At 43.9% G+C, this 21,183-nt stretch overlaps 1 protein-coding gene across 6 annotated transcripts in view, besides 2 other annotated features; it reads left to right on the top strand.

Moving 5' to 3' along the window:
* TERF2 (telomeric repeat binding factor 2) overlaps positions 5,103 to 21,183 on the top strand; it is a 30,441-nt gene continuing 14,360 nt past the window's right edge. For 5 of the 6 annotated variants that reach the window (XM_005256123.4, NM_005652.5, XM_005256122.4 and 2 more), the window contains exons 1-5: positions 5,103 to 5,517; positions 5,624 to 5,719; positions 6,400 to 6,530; positions 18,755 to 18,841; positions 20,481 to 20,627. In XM_005256123.4, coding sequence (XP_005256180.1) covers positions 5,139 to 5,517; positions 5,624 to 5,719; positions 6,400 to 6,530; positions 18,755 to 18,841; positions 20,481 to 20,627 — 840 coding nt within the window. In that variant the 5' untranslated portion in view covers positions 5,103 to 5,138. The remainder of the gene's footprint in view (positions 5,518 to 5,623; positions 5,720 to 6,399; positions 6,531 to 18,754; positions 18,842 to 20,480; positions 20,628 to 21,183) is intronic. The other variant, XM_005256124.5, reaches the window with a different exon arrangement.
* Positions 5,108 to 5,487: a silencer, noted in NCBI's record as "silent region_7660". NCBI's record gives its function as "represses an Ori minimal core promoter by ATAC-STARR-seq in GM12878 lymphoblastoid cells {active_cell/tissue: GM12878}" and the evidence as "EXISTENCE:reporter gene assay evidence [ECO:0000049][PMID:35858748]".
* Positions 19,085 to 19,584: an enhancer, noted in NCBI's record as "H3K27ac hESC enhancer chr16:69405429-69405928 (GRCh37/hg19 assembly coordinates)". NCBI's record gives its function as "activates a minimal SCP1, AML or CMV promoter by ChIP-STARR-seq in primed H9 embryonic stem cells {active_cell/tissue: H9 hESC(primed)}" and the evidence as "EXISTENCE:reporter gene assay evidence [ECO:0000049][PMID:30033119]".

The raw sequence follows: 21,183 nt of genomic DNA, 5'->3' as shown, positions 1-21,183 counted from the left end.
TTATGGCTGTTGCTGATTTTTTTCTGGGTTGCTCTTTAGAAAGGTTGTACTGATTTAACACTGCCACCAGCACTGGCTGAAAGGGTCTGCTTCACAGTACCTTCCCTGACAATGGGGATTATTAACTTTTTTTTTTTTTTTGAGACAGAGTCTCGCTCTGTCGCCCAGGCTGGAGTGCAGTGGCGTGATCTCAGCTCACTGCAAGCTCCGCCTCCCTGGTTCACACCATTCTCCTGCCTCAGCCTCCCGAGTAGCTGGGACTACAGGGGCCCACCACCACACCCGGCTAATTTTTTGTATTTTTAGTGGAGACAGGGTTTCACCGTGTTAGCCAGGATGGTCTTGATCTCCTGACCTTGTGATCCACCCGTCTCGGCCTCCCAAAGTGCTGGGATTACAGGCATGAGCCACCGCGCTTGGCCTTTTTTTTTTTTTTGAGACAGAGTCCTGCTTTGTCGCCCAGGCTGGAGTGCAGTGGCACAATCTCGGCTCACTGCAAGCTCTGCCCCCCGGGTTCACATGCCCGGCCGATTATTAACTTTTAAAACCTTTCTAGTGGAGGCTGGGCGTGGTGGCTCACGCCTATAATCCCAGCACTTTGGGAGGCCGAGGTGGGCAGATTGCCTGAGGTCAGGAGTTCGAGACCAGCCTGACCAACATGGGAAAACCCCATCTCTACTAAAAACACAAACAAATTAGCGGGTGTGGTGGTGGGCGCCTGTAATCCCAACTACTTGGGAGGCTGAGGCAGGAGAATCTCTTGAATACGGGAAACGGAGGTTGCAGTGAGCCGAGATCACACCATTGCACTCCAGCCTGGGCAACAGAGCGAGACTCTGCCTCAAAAAACAAAACAAAACAAAAAACCTTGCTAGTGACCAGGCGTGGTGGCTCACGCCTGTAATCCCAGCACTTTGGGAGGCCGAGGTGGGTGGATCACCTCAGGTCAGGAGTTCAAGACCAGCCTGACCAATATGGTGAAACCCCATCTCTGCTAAAAAATACAAAATTAGCTGGGTGCGGTGGTGCATGCCTGTAATCCCAGCTACTTAGGAGGCTGAGGCAGGAGAATCGCTTGAACCCAGGAGGTGGAGGTTGCAGTGAGCCGAGATCACACCGTTGCACTCCAGCCTGGGCAACAAGAGCGAAACTCCGTCTCAAAAACAAAAACAAAAACAAACAAAAAAAACCTTGCTAGGCCCAGCTTGGTGGCTCAGACCTGTAATCTCAGCACTTTGGGAGGCCTAGGCGGGAAGACTGCCTGAGCCCAGGAGTTTGAGACCAGCCTGGCCAACATGGCAAAACCCTGTCGCTACAAAAAAATAAAAAAATAATAATTGGCCAGATATGGTGGCATGTACCTGTAGTCCCGGCTACTCAGGAGGCTGAGGAAGGAGGATCACTGGAGCCCAGGAGGTCGAGGCTGCGGTGAGCCATGATCACACCACTGCACTCTGGCCTGGGTGACAGAGCAAGATCTTGTCTCAAAAAAAAAAACCTTGCTAGCTTGATTGGCATGTGTCAGGCAATTTTTTTTTTTTTTGAGACTGAGTTTCGCTCTTTTCGCCCAGGCTGGCATGCAATGGCATGTTCTCGGCTCACTGCAACCTCCACCTCCTTGGTTCAAGTGATTCTCCTGCCTCAGCCTCCCAAGTAGCTGGGATTACAGGTGCCCACCACCATGCCCGGTTAATTTTGTATTTTTAGTAGACATGGGGTTTCACCATGTTGGCCAGGCTGGTCTTGAACTCCTGAACTCAGGTGGTCCTCCCACCATGGCCTCCTAAAGTGCTGGGATTACAGGCGTGACCCACCGTGCCTGGCCAGTTATTATTATCATTATTATTATTACTATTGTTATTTTAAGACAGAGCTCACTCTATCCAGGCTGGAGTGTAGTGGTACCATCTCAGCTCACTGCAACCTCTGCCTCCCAAGCGATTCTCATGTCTTGGCTTCCCAAAGTGCTGGGATTACAGTCGTGAGCCACCGCACCCAGCATTGTCAGACATTATTTACAGGCCTTATTTCATCTTTATTTTTTAAGACGGAGTCTGGCTCTGTTGCCCAGGCTGGAGTGCGGTGGCGGGATCCTGGCTCACTGCAACCTCCGCCTCCCAGGATCAAGCAATTCTCCTGCCTCAGCCTCCCGAGTAGCTGGGATTACAGGCTTCAGCTACCACACCCAGTTAATTTTTGTATTTTTAGTACAGATGGGGTTTCACCATGTTGGCCAGGTTGGTCTCCAACTCCTGACCTCAGGTTATCCACCCACCTTGGCCTCCGAAAGTGCTGGGATTACAGGTGTCAGCCACAGCGCCCGGCCGGTATAAGCTGTTTTTATTAACTCATCCAGGACCTGCCTAGAAAGTCTCCTACTCTCCTCTATCAAAAAAAACTCATTTTTCTTTTATTTTTTCAAAATTAAGGTATGACTTACATAAAGTGCGCAAATCATAAGTGTCCTGCTTGATGGATTTTCTCCTCATTTTTCAAAGTCCCATCATCCTCTGGTTATCCCAAAATCATTCTCTTCTTTATCTACCACAAATACCCAACTGTCTCTTTAAGGGAACTTCTTTGAAAACCTTAAGTGCTTCCTGCTTTCCTGTAATCCCAGCTACTCGGGAGGCTGAGGCAGGAGAATCAATTGAACCTGGGAGATGGAGGTTGCAGTGAGCCGAGATTGCGCCATTACACTCAAGCCTGGGCGACAAGAGCAAAACTCTGTCTCAAAAAACAAACAAACAAACAAAAAACAGTTTACACTTACTGAGCCCTTACCACAAGCTGAGCCCTTCGCTAAAGGCATTAGAAATAGCAACTCATTGACTTTTCGTATAATTTCCAAGAGGTACCTTCATTATTTGTGCTTGACAGATGTGGAAACAGAGGCACAGAGACAGTTAAGGGATTTGTTCAAGGTTACACAGCTAGCAAGTAGAGGAGTTAGCACTGGCCAGGCGCAGTGGCTCACGCCTATAATCTCAGCACTTTGGGAGGCCACAATGGGTGGATCACTTGAGGCCAGGAGTTCGAGACAGCGTGGCCAACATGGTGAAACCCCGTCTCTACTAAAAATACAAAAATTAGCCAGGCGTGGTGGCACACGCCTGTAATCCCAGCTACTCGGGAGGCTGAGGCAGGAGAATCACTTGAACCCGGGAGGCGGAGGTTGCAGTGAGCCAAGATCGTGCCACTGCACTCCAGCCTGGGCAACAGAACAAGACTCTGTCTCAGAAAAAAAAAAAAAAAGTTAGAATTGAAAGGCAAGTGATTTGGCACCAGGCATAGTAGCTCAACCCTGAAATCCCCAGCACTTTAGGAGACCAGGGTGGGAGGAGTGCTTGAGGCCAGGAGTTCGAGACCAGCCTGGGCAACACGGCAAGACCCCTAATTCTACGAAAAAAAATTTCAAATTACCCAGGCATGGTGGCACACGCTGGTAGTCTTAGCTACTTGGGAGGTTGAGGCAGGAGGATCACTTGAGCCCAGGAGTTCAAGGCTGCAGTGAGCACGATTGTGCCACTGCACTCCAACCTGCATTACAGAGTGAAACTTTCTCAAAAAAACTAAAATAAAGGCAAGTGATTTGGTTCCTGGTTAAGGCAAGCAGGCTGGAATGGAAAAGCAGCCATGGGCCGGGCGCAGTGGCTCACGCCTGTAATCCCAGCACTTTGGGAGACCGAGGCGGGCGGATCACGAGGTCAGGAGATGGAGACCATCCTGGCTAACACAGTGAAACCCCGTCTCTACTAAAAATACAAAAAATTAGCTGGGCATGGTAGTGGGCGCCTGTAGTCCCAGCCACTCGGGAGGCTGAGGCAGGAGAATGGCATGAACCCAGAGGCGGAGCTTGCAGTGAGCCGAGATCGTGCCACTGCACTCCAGCTTGGGCGACAGAACGAGATTCCATCTCAAGAAAAACAAAGAAAAAAAAGAAAAGCAGCTATGATCACCAAAGATCAGTCAGACCTAGAGGCCTCTTCTCTCATCCCGGAACGTGTACCTCATAGAACTTTTGGCTTTCCAGGATACTATACATATTAAGGTCCTGATATTAATTCACAGGTCCAGCATGGGATTCACATCCTCAAGGACATGGCCACCTGCACTTCTGAGTTGTCTTTGAGTGGCCCCAAACTGGATCTTTGCAGGTTCCAGACTAGTGGGGCTGGTAGGACAATCTTTGAAGCTAGACCAGTTACTGGGCCTCTCAGGAAGAGGCACCCACAACCACCATCCTGAACTAAGGTCTGAGCTGGAGGTTCTCCATTTGGTCAAGTGCCAGTTGGTGAATTCCAAGAGTATCAGAGATATCTGAAAGTGACTCAGACCCTCTATGGGACTATGGGTGGTCCTTTTGCTTATTTTTCTAATTGTTCTACAACAAAATGTGTTATTTTTGTGATTACAAAGAGTATATGTCTAGCGGCTGGGTTGCCAGGTGCATTCTATTTATTGGTATCACACTGGTCTTTGCTTTATAATTACAGTATTTGTTAAAATACAAATTTGTTTAAAGACTTTCCTCTGTGTATGCTCTCTTCCACAATTTTCAAAGTGTTTAATAAGGTGCACATATTTGGTTTTCTTTTTTTTCTTTTCTTTTTTTTGAGACGGAGTTTCGCTCTTGTTGCCCAGACTGGAGTGCAATGGCGCGATCTCGGCTCACCGCAACCTCCGCCTCGCGGGTTCAAGCGAGTCTCCTGCCTCAGCCTCCTGAGTAGCTAGGATTACAGGCATGCGCCACCACGTCTGGCTAATTTTGTATTTTTAGTAGAGATGGGGTTTCTCCATGTTGGTCAGGCTGGTCTCGAACTCCCGACCTCAGGTGATCCACCCGCCTCAGCCTCCCAAAGTGCTGGGATTACAGGCGTAGAGCCACCGATCCCGGCCTGTTTTTCAGTCTCTAATACACTGTTCCGCGTCCCTAGCATAGTAGCTGTTTTCTGTAAATTCGGAGCGAAGTTGACTGCAAAACCCGCCGGGTTCACCGGCCTGGGCGGTGTGGACTTCAAGCCCCAGGAGGCATTGCGGCCGGCACATCGGGAACTACGGCGTCTGAGAAGGGGGCCGGGCCCTCCGGTCCTTTCCCTCCCAGAAGCCCGCGGGCGGCTCGGAACGCTGTTTCTATCATGGCCGCGGGAGCCGGGACGGCGGGCCCCGCTTCCGGCCCGGGCGTCGTGCGTGACCCAGCGGCGTCACAGCCGAGGAAGCGGCCCGGCCGGGAGGGCGGGGAGGGCGCGCGGCGATCGGACACGATGGCGGGAGGAGGCGGGAGTAGCGACGGCAGCGGGCGGGCAGCTGGCAGGCGGGCGTCCCGCAGTAGCGGGCGGGCCCGGCGGGGGCGCCACGAGCCGGGGCTGGGGGGCCCGGCGGAGCGCGGCGCGGGGGAGGCACGGCTGGAAGAGGCAGTCAATCGCTGGGTGCTCAAGTTCTACTTCCACGAGGCGCTGCGGGCCTTTCGGGGTAGCCGGTACGGGGACTTCAGACAGATCCGGGACATCATGCAGGGTGAGGGCCGGGCCGGGGGAGGGGGGTTGGAGCGCCGGGGAAGGGGGTCCGGGGGACCGGGAGTCGGGACTGGGGGTCGCCCAGCCAACGATGTCTTCTCTCCCAGCTTTGCTTGTCAGGCCCTTGGGGAAGGAGCACACCGTGTCCCGATTGCTGCGGGTTATGCAGTGTCTGTCGCGGATTGAAGAAGGGGAAAATTTAGGTATGGCTATTTTTGTGTTCTTCTCTGGGCTTACTTGCGTAGGGTTTTGTTTTAAAACTTATATCTAGAACTGAAGGATTCCAGGTTAAAGTGCGATAGTTTCCATCAGAGTGGTCTTTTTCATTCTACGATGGGTCTGTTTTCTGGCTCGACTGGCTCTAGTTTTCTCCGGTTAAGGTTGTCTTGGCTGCTTTTCTGTGTTTTTTTTAAATCTTCTCCCACCTGTTAATTGCTCACCCCAACTTTGCTCCTGTCTAAAGTGAGTTATGTTCATATGGACATCTTTTTTCCCCCATGGTAGAGAGTTTTTCAGAGTGGAAGTACTCTGACATTTTTCCCCTCTGAATTTAACTTGAAAGCTATTTAGCTGTTGTCAGTTTCTTGCCACTCGTATCTGAGGAGGATGGGTATATTCTGAATTTGAGAGGCAAATGCAGGTATTTAAAAATAATTTTTTTGCCTGTCTTGACAGGTGTTAAAAAATGGTCACGTTAAATTCATTGATTTGAATTTGGACCCTTATCGTGTATGTCAACCTGTAGCAAATATGTCAAAAAATTAAATGCAAATCTTACCATATTTGCATGCTCCATTTCCATAAATATATATATATAATTTTTGGACATAACTTTTTTACCCTTAGAAAAGAGCTTAAAAATGAAAACTGTGCTTTGTCCTAGACTGTTCCTTTGATATGGAGGCTGAGCTCACACCACTGGAATCAGCTATCAATGTGCTGGAGATGATTAAAACGGAATTTACACTGACAGAAGCAGTGGTCGAATCCAGTAGAAAACTGGTCAAGGAAGCTGTAAGGCTCTATTTTTATATCTTTTTTCTTTGACCAAAAATCAAGGGTCTTTGAGGATACAGCACTTACTCTTTACTGTGTGGGGCAGAGGAAAACAGCAATGGGGAGAGATTGAGCAAGCAAGAAAGCACACACACAGACGTTATTTCTTCAGGTGTCTCCTTTCCCACCCAGGCTTGGGAAGTAATGGCAGTTGCTCAGTTTTTGTGATTTGGGTGGTCTTCCTTGTGGCTTTGGCATTGAAGCTCTGACATTTTGGAGGTTACTGCACCATTCGGGAGCACTCTACAAGGGCCTTAAGTAACTCTGGCCTAGGGTTTGGTCACCCTTGTTTATAATAAACCAAGGAGATAAACTGGGGCCTTGGAAAATGTGGTACTGACTTTGAGTTCTTTCTGTCTGCAGAAAGAGGGGCTTAGAGAATATCCCTTTTGAACAGATAGATTAGAATCAGAGGTGCTGGGATAATGAGCCAGCTAGCAAAATAGTAATGGTAGAAGAATGATAGAAATCCGGCACAGGCAGTGTTCTTGAATTCAAGAAAAAAGCTAATGGAGTGTCTAGGAATTTGGGATTGTCACTGTGTTGTGGCTCAGGTAGCTTCAAACAGTAGAAATTATTTTAATTTAAAACATAGAAGTGGCTGTGGGAACCAGTTAGAAAAAGATTTTTCTTCCCCCAAAACCAAGGCTGGGGGGTGTGGAAGCAGATGCAGAGGTGAAGATGGAAAACATCAGCTAAGCATTGCCCTGGTGGTAGAAAATAGGGAAATGGTTAAGAAAAGAGCACCCCTAAAAGGATGGGATCCCAAAGATGGGGGTGGGGTAGAAAGAAAAACCTTGCTTCACAAGGAAAACCTGTCTCTTGGCTGTGTACATTGTACTTGGGTACCCTATTAAAAAACAACTAGTGTGCATGAGGTGCACATATTTTATTTATTTAATTAAGGACCTTGGGCAGATACTACTTTTGGTCTGGTAAAGAAATGCTTAAATATTAGTCATTTCCAAGGAAGAATAATTTCAAGAGTACATTTTTAGTATAGGAAAATCAGGTTTAGGTTGAGGGGAGGCATATGCCAGAATAGACATTATCAAGGGAGGAGAAATTCATGCCTACTTTCAGAACTGTTAAGGATCTTTTGAATGGGTACCAGTTTAGAATAATTCATTTAACTTCTATTAAGTACACATTGAGTATCCCTTATCCAAAATACTTGGGAACAGAAGCATTTTGGATTTCAGATTTTGGAATATTTGCATTAAATTTAGTTTGAGCATCCCAAATCCAAAAATCTGAAATCCCAAATGCCCTCAAATCTGAAACTTTTTGAGTGCCAACATGGCACTCAAAGGAAATGCTCATTGGAGCATTTCAGATTTCGGATTTTCAGATTTAGGATGCTCAACCTGTAGCAACTCCTTTAGAACACAAGGGCTATAGATTTGCCATCTGGCCCCTCTTCTGGAAGAGTCTTTGTGGGCTTTCATCTTTCAGCTGCGTATTTATTATTATTATTTAGGCTCATAGAGCTCCTTATTTGGGTGGTTCATTAGGAAAAATCTATTAGAAAAATCTAAGCTCTCAGAGTAGCCATTTTCTTACGTTGACTCTGTTCTCCTTTTCCAGTCTCCACCACGTACTAGATCTTATGCTTATTGTTACTGCAGTGTAACAAGTTACTCCAAGAATAAGCAGCTCAAAACAGTTAATATTATCTTTCAGTTTCCGAGGATCAGGAGTCTATTAGTGATTCTGGCTCAGGGTTTCTCATGAGGTTACAGTCAAGCTGTCAGCTAGGTTTGCAGTCATTTCAAGACTCAACTGCTTCCCTACTCACATAGTTGTTAACAAGACTCACTTTCCTACTGGCTGTTGGCTGGACACTTCAGCTCCTGGCCTCTTCACAGATAAGGCTGCTTGCAACATGGCAGCTTTGTTTTCCTACAGCAAATCATGCAAGAGAGCAAGAACCCAAGGCAGAAGTCTCATTCTTGTAGAGTCTAATCTTGGAAGTGACACATTATCACTTCCACCATATGCTCTTGGTCATACAGACTAGACTCACTCTGGTAGAGTGTGAATGGGACTCCGCAAGAGGTGAGGCGCATTGGGGGCTGCCTTTGAGGTTGGCAACCACAATTACCTTGATCTCCTAGTTGTTAAATGATATTATTTCATCCATCTCTTCAATTTACTTTGTAAAAGTTTCTCATTTACAGTCACGGAATCTGTTAATGATCGGGAAAATTCTACAGACGCCTAGGTTCAGTGAGCCTTGCTCATGCATTTAAGCTTTGTAAAGTGCCAAAACAATTTATTTAAAAGTATATTGAATCTTTCGCAAAGTTTATCAAGTAAGTTATTTGTTAAGTTAGAACCCTCAGTGCATGGTCTAGGGATCTCTGGAGGTCCCCAGGACCCTTTCAGAGAAGCCATGAGGTCAAAACTGTTTTCATAAGCAGAACCAAAACATTATTTGACTTTTTCAATGCATTGGCATTTGCATTGATGGTACAAAAGCAAGGATGAGTAAAATGGGTGATTCCTTAGCGTGATCAAGATGGTAGTAATTGTACTAGTAGTCATTGTATTCTTCACTGCCACAATTTTTTTTAAAACTACCAATTTTAATTAAGAATGTTAGTCACAGTTGTTTAAAAGCTCAGAACTCCCATTAAAAAAAAATTTAAAAAAGAATGTCTTTGGTAAAGCAGCAAAAACTGGATGAATTTTATTAACTCTAGAGCCTTGAGTAAACATCTTTTCAGGATTTTGTGTGTTGAAATAGAAAGTATGGGCCAGGTGCAGTAGCTCATACCTGTAATCCTAGCACTTTGGGAGGCTGACGTGAGTGGATCGCTTGAGCCTAGGAGTTCCAGACCAGCCTGGGTAACATAGTGAAACCCTGTCTCTACAAAAATACAAAAAATTAGCTGGGTGTGGTGGTGTGCACCTGTGGTGTCAGCTACTTGGGAGGCTGAGGCAGAAGGATCACCTGAGCCTGGGAGGTGGAGGTTGCAGTAAGCTGATATCATACCTCTGTACTCGAGCCTGGACGACAGAGTGAAGACCCTGTCAAAAAAGAAAAAAAAAAAAATAAGAGGAAGTATGACTAAAATGTTTCTGCTGCATACCAAAACATGATGGTTACCAGGAAAAGCACTTGTGTTATTATTAGAGTTGCATGCTGAACTAGCTGCTTTTTTATGGAATACTATTTTACCTGAAGAACAACTGACAAATTACAGTTGTTCACACTTGGGTATTTGGCAGTCATTTTCTTGAGAATGAGTAAAGCAAACCTGTCACATAAAACAAGTGACAGTATTTGTTGCCAGTGATAAAGTTTAAGCTTTCTAGTGAAAAACAGAATTTTGGAAAACTTGTATTCATGTGCTTGATAGCTTCCCAATACTTAGTCTTTTCTGAAGATTGGTAATATTAACAACTGACATTTAAAAAATATTTTTTAGGCTGGGCGCGGTGGCTCACGCCTGTAATCCCAGCACTTTGGGAGGCCAAGGCAGGTAGATCACCTGAGGTCAGGAGTTTGAGACCAGCCTGGCCAACATAGTGAAACCTCGTCTCTACTAAAAATACAAAAAAAATTAGCCAGGCGTGGTGGTGGGCACCTGTAATCCCAGCTACTCGGGAGACTGAGGCAGGAGAATTGCTTGAACCCGGGAGGAGGAGGTTGCCGTGAGCCGAGATCACACCACTGCACTCCAGCCTGGGAAACAGTGAGACTCCATCTCAGAAAAAAAAAAAAAAAAATTAATGAATGTGTCAATATTTGAAGATCTTCATAACTCAGTGAACCAGTATTTTCCAGATGACCAATGCATGATGTTATGAAGTCATCCATGGATGAAAGATCTATTTAAACTACAAGATAGACTGATGGATTTTTTTTTTTTTTTTAGACGTAGTCTCTCTCTGTCGCCCAGGCTGGAGTATAGTGGCGTGATCTCGGCTTACTGCAAGCTCCGCCTCCTGGGTTCAAGCAGTTCTACACCTCAGCCTCCCAAGTAGCTGTTATTACAGGCGCCCACCACCACCCCTGGCTAATTTTTGTATTATTATTAGAAATGGGTTTCACCATCTTGGCCAGGCTGGTCTTGCACTCCTGACCTCATGATCCACCCGCCTTGGCCTCCCAAAGTGCTGGGATTACAGGAGTGAGCCACTGCGCCCAGCTGACTGATGGATTTTAATGTGACAGATTAAGAAAAGTTTACTTACTGCAGTTTCGTGTAGAATCAAACAAGAATAGCCACAGTTTTCTGAAAAAGCTATTAAAATACTCCTCCATTTTCAGCTTCGTATGTGTATAAAGCCAGATTTTTAAAAATGCCTTAACCAAGGGTAGGGCATGGTGGCTCACACCTGTAATCTCAGCACTTTGGGAGGCTAAGACGGGTGGATCACTTGAGGTCAGAAGTTTGAGACTAGGCTGGCCAGTATGGTGAAACCCTGTCTCTACCAAAAATACAAAAATTAGCCGGGTGTGTGGCCCGAGCCTGTAATCCCAGCTACTCGGGAGGCTGAGGCATGAGAATCGCTTGAACCCAGGAGGCGAGGAGGCTGCAGTGAGCTGAGATCACATCACTGCACTCCAGCCTGGGTGACAGAGCAAAACTCTGTCTCAAAAAAAAACCCCACTCTACCAAAATAACACATCACAACAGATTAAATACAGAAGCAGTTATGAGCATCCAGCTATCGTCTATATTAAACCAGATATTAAAGAGATTTTCAAAATGAAAAACAAATGTCACCCTTCTCATTAAACTTTTATCTTAGTAAATGCCGTAATTTTTCATAAGGATGTTATTTATGTTACCTTGTAATTAGTTTATTGTTATTTTCTAATGAATTAATAAATATTTAAAATTTTCTGATTTATGTTTCTAATACAGTGAATATCAGCAAATATAACCTACATAAACAGAAAGCTCTTTGAGGGTCTGCAGTAACGTTTTAAGAAGAATATAAAAGAATCCTGAGACCAAAAATTTGAGACCTGCTTCTGCAAGCTGTTAATTATATCAAGACTATATTTGTTTTCTCCTCATAACTAAAGGAGAGATTGATCTGTTAGGTTTCTTTAGAGAACAAGGGGTAGCAACACGTATAGCATGTCCTTGAAGCATTTATATGTTGCTTTTTACTATGCGGCATTGTCCCCTGCAGCTTTGGCAACAGCAGCTTGATGTTCTTTGAGGGCCTTACCCCATTTGGGGTGCTTGTATATCAGATACACTCTGTTAGAACTTTACATTTGAAACAAAAATATTTGTTGAGGCTTTTTAAACATTGCTGCTTCCCAGAACAGCCTTGCTTCTTTTTGCATCTGCTTCTTTATTCTTCAGTTCTGTGAGTTTGGTCTTCTTCTCTTCCTTTGTTAATAAATGTGCTTTCTGGCATTTCTTCCCAACATAAACCTACCTTACCTATTTTGAAAATCTGTGCTTGGAATTTCCCTTTTATTTAACTTATCCAGAGACCATTGATATTGCTTATACCCTAGAAACCTTAACAAATACGTAAGAGAAGAAACTATACTTACTTCTGGGAACTGCCAAGTGAAAAAGCAGTGATTCATCTTTTTAATTTCCCCCCCCCCACAGGAAATTAATACATAGTTTTAAAAGATAAGCTCATAGCACAACCTTTGAAGCAGACTTCTTCATTTCAATTTGAAAGCATTCATATTTCCTTTCTTGCTTCACACATTAAATATAGAAGGATATGTGTTCCAATTCTGGAGAACATAGAGTAAACATACTCTCTTCTGTCTCTCCCTCTTAATGTAATTATAAGTCTTGGACAGAATGCATGGAGTAGCTATCTGAGGATTCTATCTGGAAATAGGCATATAGGGAAGGAGACCAGAATTTGAAGTTCCACCAAACCAGTGATGAATAGTTTACCATTTTTTCCTTCTCTGGTGTCACCCAGCCCAGACTCAAAGGCAGCCTGAAACCTGGAAGTGCACTCCAGGTGTGAACAGAAAGAGCACCAAGAGAAGCTTTCTCTTTCTGGTCTGAGGAGCAAGGAAGGATCTCTCAAGGGTCAGAGATGGTGAAAGAAATCCCAGTTTTTTCTCTTTTTTCGCTTCTTTCTTGCCCTGGCCCCCAGGCAATACTATCCTGGTGGCAGCAGCTGCCTAGCAATGACGGTGGCAACAGGGCAGACATCTAAAACTGAAGGAGGAGAACTCTTTTTCTCACCAAAGGAGCTGTGATCCCCAGAACATGGAACAAATTCCATAGCCTTCCACTGTCTGTCCTGCTGCTTGGCCCTGGGTGCAGATGCAGTTAGTGTGTGACAGAGTGGGGAAACCAAAGTCCAGGAATGCAAGGCTGCTTCAGTATTTGAAAATCAATCAGTGTAGTCCACCATATTAAGAGAAAAACCATATGATCATATAAATTGATGCTGAAATTCACAGAATTCAACATTAGTTCATGATAAAAACACTCAGCAAACTAGGAATGAAGGGAACTTCCTCAACCTGATAAAAGGTGTCTACAAAAAGCCCACAGCTAACATTCTTAATGGTAAAAATTGGAATGCTCACCACTTGTATTCAACATCATACCGGAAGACCTAACCAGTGCAATAAGGCAAGGGGGAAAAAGCATACAGAATGGAGAGGAAATAATAAAATTACTTCTTTTTGCAGATGGCAGGACTATGTAGAAATCTCATGAAGTATACAAAAAAAAAAATCCTGTAAGTTTAGCAAGATCAACACAAAAATCAGTCATACATCACATGAAAACAGCATTTTAAAGTAAAAAAAGAAAAGTCAGTCATATTTCCATATACTAGCAGTGAACAATTCAAAATGAAATTACCAACACAATGCCATTTACAATGGCTTCAGAACAGAAAGAAATACGTGTAAGTCTAGCAAAATGTGAAGGAACTGTATATGGAAAATTGTAAAATGCTGATGAAAGAGATTAAGGCCAGGCAGCACTTTGGGAGGCTGAGGCAGGCGGATTATGAGGTCAAGAGATCGAGACCATCCTGGCCAACACGGTGAAACCCCATCTCTACTAAAAATACAAAAATTAGCTGGGCATGGTGGCATGCGCCTGTAGTCCCAGCTACTTGGGAGGTTGAGGCAGGAGAATCTCTTGAACCTGCGAGGTGGAGGTTGCAGTGAGCTGAGATTGCAGCAGTGCACTCCAGTCTGGTGACAGAGCAAGACTCCATCTCAAAAAAGAAAAAAAATTAAGACTGAATGTTCATGTTCATGGATTGGAAGACATAAATTAAGTTGCCACTTAGCTCCCGTTGATCTATAGAGTTAATACAATTCCAGTCACAATCTCAACAGGATTTTTTCTTTTTTTTTTTTTTGAGATGGAGTCTTGCTCTGTTGCCCAGGCTGGAGTGCAGTGGCACAATCTCAGCTCACTGCAACCTCCGTCTCCTAGGTTTAAGCGATTCTCATGCCTCAGCCTCCTGAGGAGCTGAAATTACAGGCATGTGCCACCGCACCTGGCTAATTTTTGTGTGTTTTTAGTAGAGATAGGGTTTCACCATGTTGGCCAGACTGGTCTCAAACTCCCAACCTCAGGCAATCCGCCTGCGTCGGCCTCCCAGAGTGCTGGGATTACAGACGTGAGCCATCGCACCCAGCCTAGCGGGATTTTCTTTCTTTTCTTTGTCTTTTTCTCAGTTTTTTTTTTTTTTTTTCAATGTGACAAGGTCTCGCTCTGTCACCCGGGCTGGAATGCAGTGGCATAATCATGGCTCACTGCAGCCTTGACCTCCTGGGCTCAGGTGCTCTTCCCACTTTACCCTCTTGAATAGCTGGAACCACAAGCATGTGCCACCTTGCCTGGCTAATTTTTTTTTTTTTTTTTTTGGTAAAGATGGGGTCTCCCTGTGTTCCCATATTGCACAGTCTGGTCTTGAACTCCTGGGCTCAAGTGACGCTCCCACCTCAACCTTCCAAAGTGCTGAGATTGCAGATTTGAGCCACCCTATCTGGCCTCAGCAGGATTTTCTATAGATACAGACTGGCTAATTCTAAAACATATGGAAAAGCAAAGGAATTTAAATAACCAAAAAGTGTTATATTGAAAGAAAAATTTGGATTCATACTACCCAATTTTAAGAATTATGAGAAAGTTACAGTAATTACGACTATAGAGATTAGTAGAACAGAAGAGAGCATCTAAAAACAGACCCACACAAATATGACTGATTGATTTTTGACAAAGATGTGAAGGCTATTCAATGGGAAAAGGATGGTCTTTTCAACAAATGGTATTGAAACAATTGAATGTCCATATGCAGAAATGAACTTTGACCATAAGCTCACATCTTGTACAAAAATTAACTCAAAATTATAATCTAAATGTAAAATGTGAAACCATAAAACTTAGAGGAAACATGAAGGAATCTTTATGTCCTGGAGTTAGGCAAAAAAATCTTAGATAATAATTTAAAAACATCCATAAGAAGAAAAATTGATGAATAGGACTTAATCAAAATTTTAAACTTTTGCTCTGAGAAAAACACTGTTAAGAGAATGGAAAAGCAATCGACAGGTTGGGAGAAAATATTTACAAATCACACCTGACAAAGAACTGGTATCTAGAGTATATGAAGAGCTCTCAAAAGAAACAAGTCTATACAACCCTAGTTTTAAATGGGCAAAAAGCTCACCCAAAATAATGTAGATGGTAAAAAAAAATTACATGAAAAGATGTTCAACATCATTTACTCATTAAGGAAATACAAATTAAAACCACAGTAGATTCAAATACCAATTAGAATGGACCAAACTTTAAAAAATACTGATAGTGGGGCATGGTGTCACATGCCTATAATCCTGCTACTTGGGCACCTGAAGTAGGAGGATTGCTTGAGGCCAAGAGTTTGAGTTCAGCCTGGGTGATATAGACCCTATCTCAAGAAAAATTAATTAAAAAAAAACCCTAACTATAAAAAGTGTTAGTTACATATTTCAAAACATCATGTTGTACATAAGTATGTGCAATTTTCATCTGTTTTTTAAATAGAGATGGGATCTCACTGTTGCCCATGCTGGACTTGAACTCCTGGGATCAAGTGATCCTCCTACCTTGGCCTTCTGAAGTGCTGAGATTACAGGCGTGAGCCACCACACCTAGCCTATTTTTTAAAAAGCACTAGTGAGGATGTGGAGCAACTGGAACTCTCATATATTGCTGATGGGAATGCGGGATGATACAGCTACTCCAGAAAGTAGTTTGGCCATTTCTTATAAACACATTTTCCATGAGACCATGCAATCCTATTCTTGGGTATTTACCTTAGAGAAATGAGAAGTTTTACCTTAGAGTAAATGAGACTGTTTTAGCATCTCTATTTATAATAACCATAAATTGCAGACATCTCAAATGTCCTTCAGTGGATGAATGTATAAACTATAGTACATGCATGGAATGGAATACTGCCCAACAACAAGAAAAAGTGAACTATTGATAGTGTACCAACATGGATGGACCTTAAAGGCCTTATACAGAGTGAAAGGAGCCAAGCTCAAGGCTACATCCTTTAAAAAAAAAGTCCTACACACTTACGGCTTTTTTGTTCTTGTTTTTTGAGACGGAGTCTCACTCTGTTGCCCAGGCTGGAGTGCAGTGGCGCAATCTCGGCTCACTGCAACCTCTGCCTGTCAGGTTCAAGCAATTCTCCTGCCTTAGCCTCCCAAGCACCTGAGACTACAGGTGCGCACTACCATGCCCGTCTAATTTTTGTATTTTAAGTAGAGACAGGGTTTCACATGCTGACCAGGCTGGTCTTGAACTCCTGACCTCATGATCTGCCCACCTCAGCCTCCCAAAGTGCTGGGATTACAGGCGCGAGCCACTGCGCCTGGCCCTTTTTTTTTTTTTTTTTTTTTTTTTTTTTTTTTTTTTTTTTTTTTTTTTTTTTTTTTAAAGAGAGAGAGGGTCTCGCTTTACTGCCCAGGCTGGAGTGCAGTGGCATGATCATAGCTCACTGCTGCCCTCAAATTCCTGGGCTCGGGTGATCCTCCTACCTCTGCCTCCCGAGTAGCTAGGACCACAGGCACACGCCACCATGCCTGGCTACTTTTTTGTAGAGATGGGTTTTCACTGTGTTGCCCAGGCTGGTTTCAAATTCCTGGCCTCAAGTGATCCTCCTGTCTCAGTTTCCCAAAGCACTGGGATTACAGTTATGAGCCACCGGGATCAGTGGTTGCCAGGGTTAGGTGTGACTACACAGGACAGCCAAGGCAGGGTTTTGGATCCTCATTGTAGTGGATGATACAGGAGTCTACGTGTGTTAAAATTCCAAACCAGATGTCCTAAACAAGTTAATTTTGTTGTATGCAAGTTAAATAGAATTTTAAAACAGTAAGACCTGTATGATTAAAAAAGTAAAAACTTTGTATTCAAGAAAGTAAGTATAGTTTGAGCATATGTTTTTCTGCTGAAAGTGATGTATAAATGGATATGGTCATCTGAGTAAAATGAAGACTTACTTTGTACCTTCCCTGTGCAGCAAGAACTGTGCCTGCATATTCAAGGGCGTTTGACATCAGTTGCCTTCCGCCCTGTATGGCTGTGCTTAACACGTTGAGGATAGAAGCAACAGATTAGTACTTAATGAATTTCCTTGCTATTCTTCCCCTTAGTCTGTGTCTCTGTACATTCTTCCCTGTGAAGATCAAAAATATCTGTGAACCAATTTTCCTTTTATTGTTTGTTTTGAGACGGGGTATCGCTCTTTCGCCCAAGCTGGAGTGCAGTGGTACAGTCACTGCTCACTGCAGCCCCGATCTCCCAGACCCAAGTGATCCTCCTACCTCAACCTCCCGAGTAGCTGGGACCACAGGCACACACCAACATGCCTGGGTAGGTGGGTTTTTTTGGGGGAGAGACAGGGTCTCCCTATGTTCCCCAGGCTGGTCTCAAACTCCTGAGCTCAAGCGATCCTCCCACCTTGGCCTCTCAAAGTGTGGGAATACAGTTGTACAGTTGTAAGCTGCCACACCCAGTCGGCTTGCCTTTTTTTGTATGGTGGTCTTTTTAAAGAATCTGTGTCTCTCAGACAGGATTTGAGATAGCTACTTTATTCTATCATATAACTTCAAATACTCCCAATTTTTTGTTGGCTTTTCTAATTTTTAAAAATGTTCATATATATTATAACTTCCTTGTAAATGTTCAGTCACTGTTATTTTTCCTCAAGAGAACCTCATTCTCTTGAGGTTTCTTTATGGAAGGACTCTACTTTCTCTCTGTGGCTGGTGAGACCTTATCTTACCTGGAACTTTGCCCTTTTTATTTGCTGCTTGTGAATGACCTGGGTTTGTTGGCTTCAGTAGTTCCCTAGGTGCTTTAATTGAAGTTGCCAGCTGGGGTTTATGGTAGTAAGGGGTTGTCCCTTCATTCTCCTACAGAACTGGCCTTAGGCCTTTCCAGAATGGAACTAGCAGAACTCTGTGGTCAGCACATCTCTTTCTTTCCGCCTACAGTATATCCTCCCTCCCTCATCCCCCTCTTGCTTTAAAGCTTTTGCATCCAAAAAGAACAGAATCAATTGTTCTGGGGACCTGAAATTACAGGACGTAGAATGACTCCTGTCCATTCTGTCTTTCCTCAGGAGGCCCTATTGAAATTGGTTAAATGGTCTGTAATCCAGGTGATCAGATTTTGCTCTATCAGCCATGTAACAAAAGCCATTGTATTGTTGAAAAGTGACTACCTTACAAGCAGAAAGAGACAGCTTCCAGTGGTTCATAACACTTGAACAATAATTGTTTGTTTGTTTTTTTTGAGATGGAGTTTTGGCTCTTGTTGCCCAGGCTGGAGTGCAGTGGCGCGATCTCGGCTTACTGCAACCTCTGCGTCCCAGGTTCAAGCAATTCTCCTGCCTCAGCCTCCCGAGTAGCTGGGATTACAGGCATGCACCACCATGCCTGGCTAATTTTGTATTTTTAGTAGAGATGGGGTTTCTCCATGTTGGTCAGGCTGGTCTCGAACTCCCGACGTCAGGTGATCCACCCGCCTTGGCCTCCCAAAGTGCTGGGATTACAGGCGTGAGCCACCGCGCCTGGCTTTATAATTGTTAGTTTTTAAGTACAGAAATTTGATATGATGTGAGAGAGAGTTATTTTGATGTTTGATATTCTGATTACACCTGTCATTACAAAAGTAAAAAAAGATTTTTCCCCTCCTTTTTAGGCTGTCATTATTTGTATCAAAAACAAAGAATTTGAAAAGGCTTCAAAAATTTTGAAAAAACATATGTCCAAGGACCCCACAACTCAGGTAAATTTGATACATTTTTGCTCCTGTGACTTAAATTCATCTCATTGCTTTTTGTGGGGAAATAGGGAAAGGGTTCTTGGTCAGGAATATTACTTAAATATTCTCCTTTCAACATGTAACACCTGCAGCAAGTTATCTTTTATATCCAAGATAACTCACTGTAAGATTGGCTTTTCAAAATTTAGTTTTTATTAGAGAAATTGACATAAATTATTCACTTGCCTTATTTCTGTCTAGTTTATAACAGAACATTGATTTAAATGATCAGCACCAGGTATGGAGCTGACAAATGTAACACTTCTAACTTTATTTACATTAAATGGTGATCCTGCAGATGTGAGGAAACTTCTTTGGTGAGGACATAGCACCTGTTTCCTGGTGTCAAAAGTTCTGTTGGTCCCCTGCTTTTATTTTTTCTTCTTCCTTTTTATTCATTTGTTTATTTATTTTTTTTGAGGCAGAGTCTCGCTTTGTTGCTCAAGCTGGGGTGCAGTGGTGCAGTCATAGTTCACTGCAGCCTCAACTTCCTGAGCTCAAGCAGTTCTTCCACCTCATCCTCCCCAGTAGCTGGGTTCACAGCTGCATGCCACCACACATGGCTAATTTTTAAATTTTTTGTAGAGACAGGGTCTCTTTATGTTGCCCAGGCTGGTCTGGAACTCCTGGGCTCAAGTGATCCTACCACCTCGGCCTCCCAAAGTGCTGGGATTACGTGAATCATCATGCCCAACCATTTCTTCTATATACTTTTTTTTTTTTTTTTTTTTTGAGATGGAGTCTTGCTCTGTTGCCCGGGCTGGAGTATAGTGGCCCAATCTTGGCTCACTGCAACTTCCACCTCCCAGTTTCAAGCAGTTCTCTTGCCTCAGCCTCTGGAGTAGCTGGGGTTACAGGCATGTGCCACCATGCTGGGCTAATTTTTTAAATTTTTTAGTAGAGACGGGGTTTTAACATGTTGGCCAGGCTGGTCTCAAACTCCTGACCTCAAGTGATCCGCCCGCCTCGACCTCCCAAAGTGCTGGCATTACAGGTGTGAGCCACTGCACCTGGCCTCTATATAAATTCAAATTTTATTATTTGAAAAGGTAATACATGTACATAATACAGAATTCAAAAGGTATAACCAAAGAGTTTGGTGAAAATACTCTCATCTGTGACCCTCAGCCATCTTCTTCCCTTCAGAGGCAACCAATTTCTTTTTTTTTTTCTTTTATCCTTTCAAAGATCCTCTATGCATGTGCAAGCAAATTGTGTGTGTGTGTGTGTGTGTGTGTACAGACATCCACATAGATCCATTTTCTCCATTCTTCTCATACACATACGTGATAGCATATCCTACACACTAATGTGAACACTTTTCTAAATTGCTTTTTTCACTTAATATTATATCTTGGAATCATTCTATGTTAGCATATAAGGAACTTCTTTATCTGTTTTTTATAGCTGCATAGTAACCCACTGTGGCTGAACCTGATTTATTGACCAATCCTTTGTGTTGGGCTTCCCTTCCTGTATGTGTGCCAGTGATTTGCATTGACGGCATTGCAGAAGTTCTCATAGTGTCTGTCTCACCTCATCATCATTGAATTTTTACTGGAGTTCTACTTTCTCATGTTGCAAATATCGGTCCATTGTGTAGAAGCTGAGAAATGATCTCCTGAATATTATTCGAGAAAAGAACTTGGCCCATCCTGTTATCCAGAACTTTTCATATGAGACCTTCCAGCAGAAGATGCTGCGCTTCCTGGAGAGCCACCTGGATGACGCCGAGCCCTACCTCCTCACGGTGCGCCTTGGCCCTTCTCCCATAACCATGGTGTGCCCTTGAGGATGTGCGGGGAATCAGAATATCTGAAGTGAAAAGAGTTGATGTGTGAAAAAGACATTGAATTGTATGCACTAGCTTTCTTAATTAAATGCCTTAAAAATGCAAAAGCAGGCCAGGCGCAATGGCTCACGCCTGTAATCCCAGCACTTTGGGAGGCCCAGGGGGGTGGATCACCTGAGGTCAGGAGTTCGAGACCTGCCTGAGCAACATGGTGAAACCCCATCTCTACTAAAAATATAAAAATTAGCTGGGCGTGGTGGCAGGCACCTGTAATCCTAGCTACTTTGGAGGCTGAGGCAGGAGAATCGCTTGAACCCAGGAGATGGAGATTGCAGTGAGCCAAGATTGCGCCATTGCACTCCAGCCTGGACAACAGAGCAAGACTCCGTCTCAAAAAATAAATAAATAAATAATACAAAAGCAGAGATACTGGCAGAGGCAAATGGAACACACCTGGTCTCCCTCATCTGCCATTTTTATCTCCTTTACACATGGTTAATCTGCCATGGTTGAA

Source organism: Homo sapiens, chromosome 16 (assembly GCF_000001405.40).
Source record: "Homo sapiens chromosome 16, GRCh38.p14 Primary Assembly".
NCBI classification, from domain to species: Eukaryota; Metazoa; Chordata; class Mammalia; order Primates; family Hominidae; genus Homo; species Homo sapiens.
Note: the sequence above shows the minus strand (reverse complement) of the source record. Positions and strands in the feature narration are given on the sequence as shown.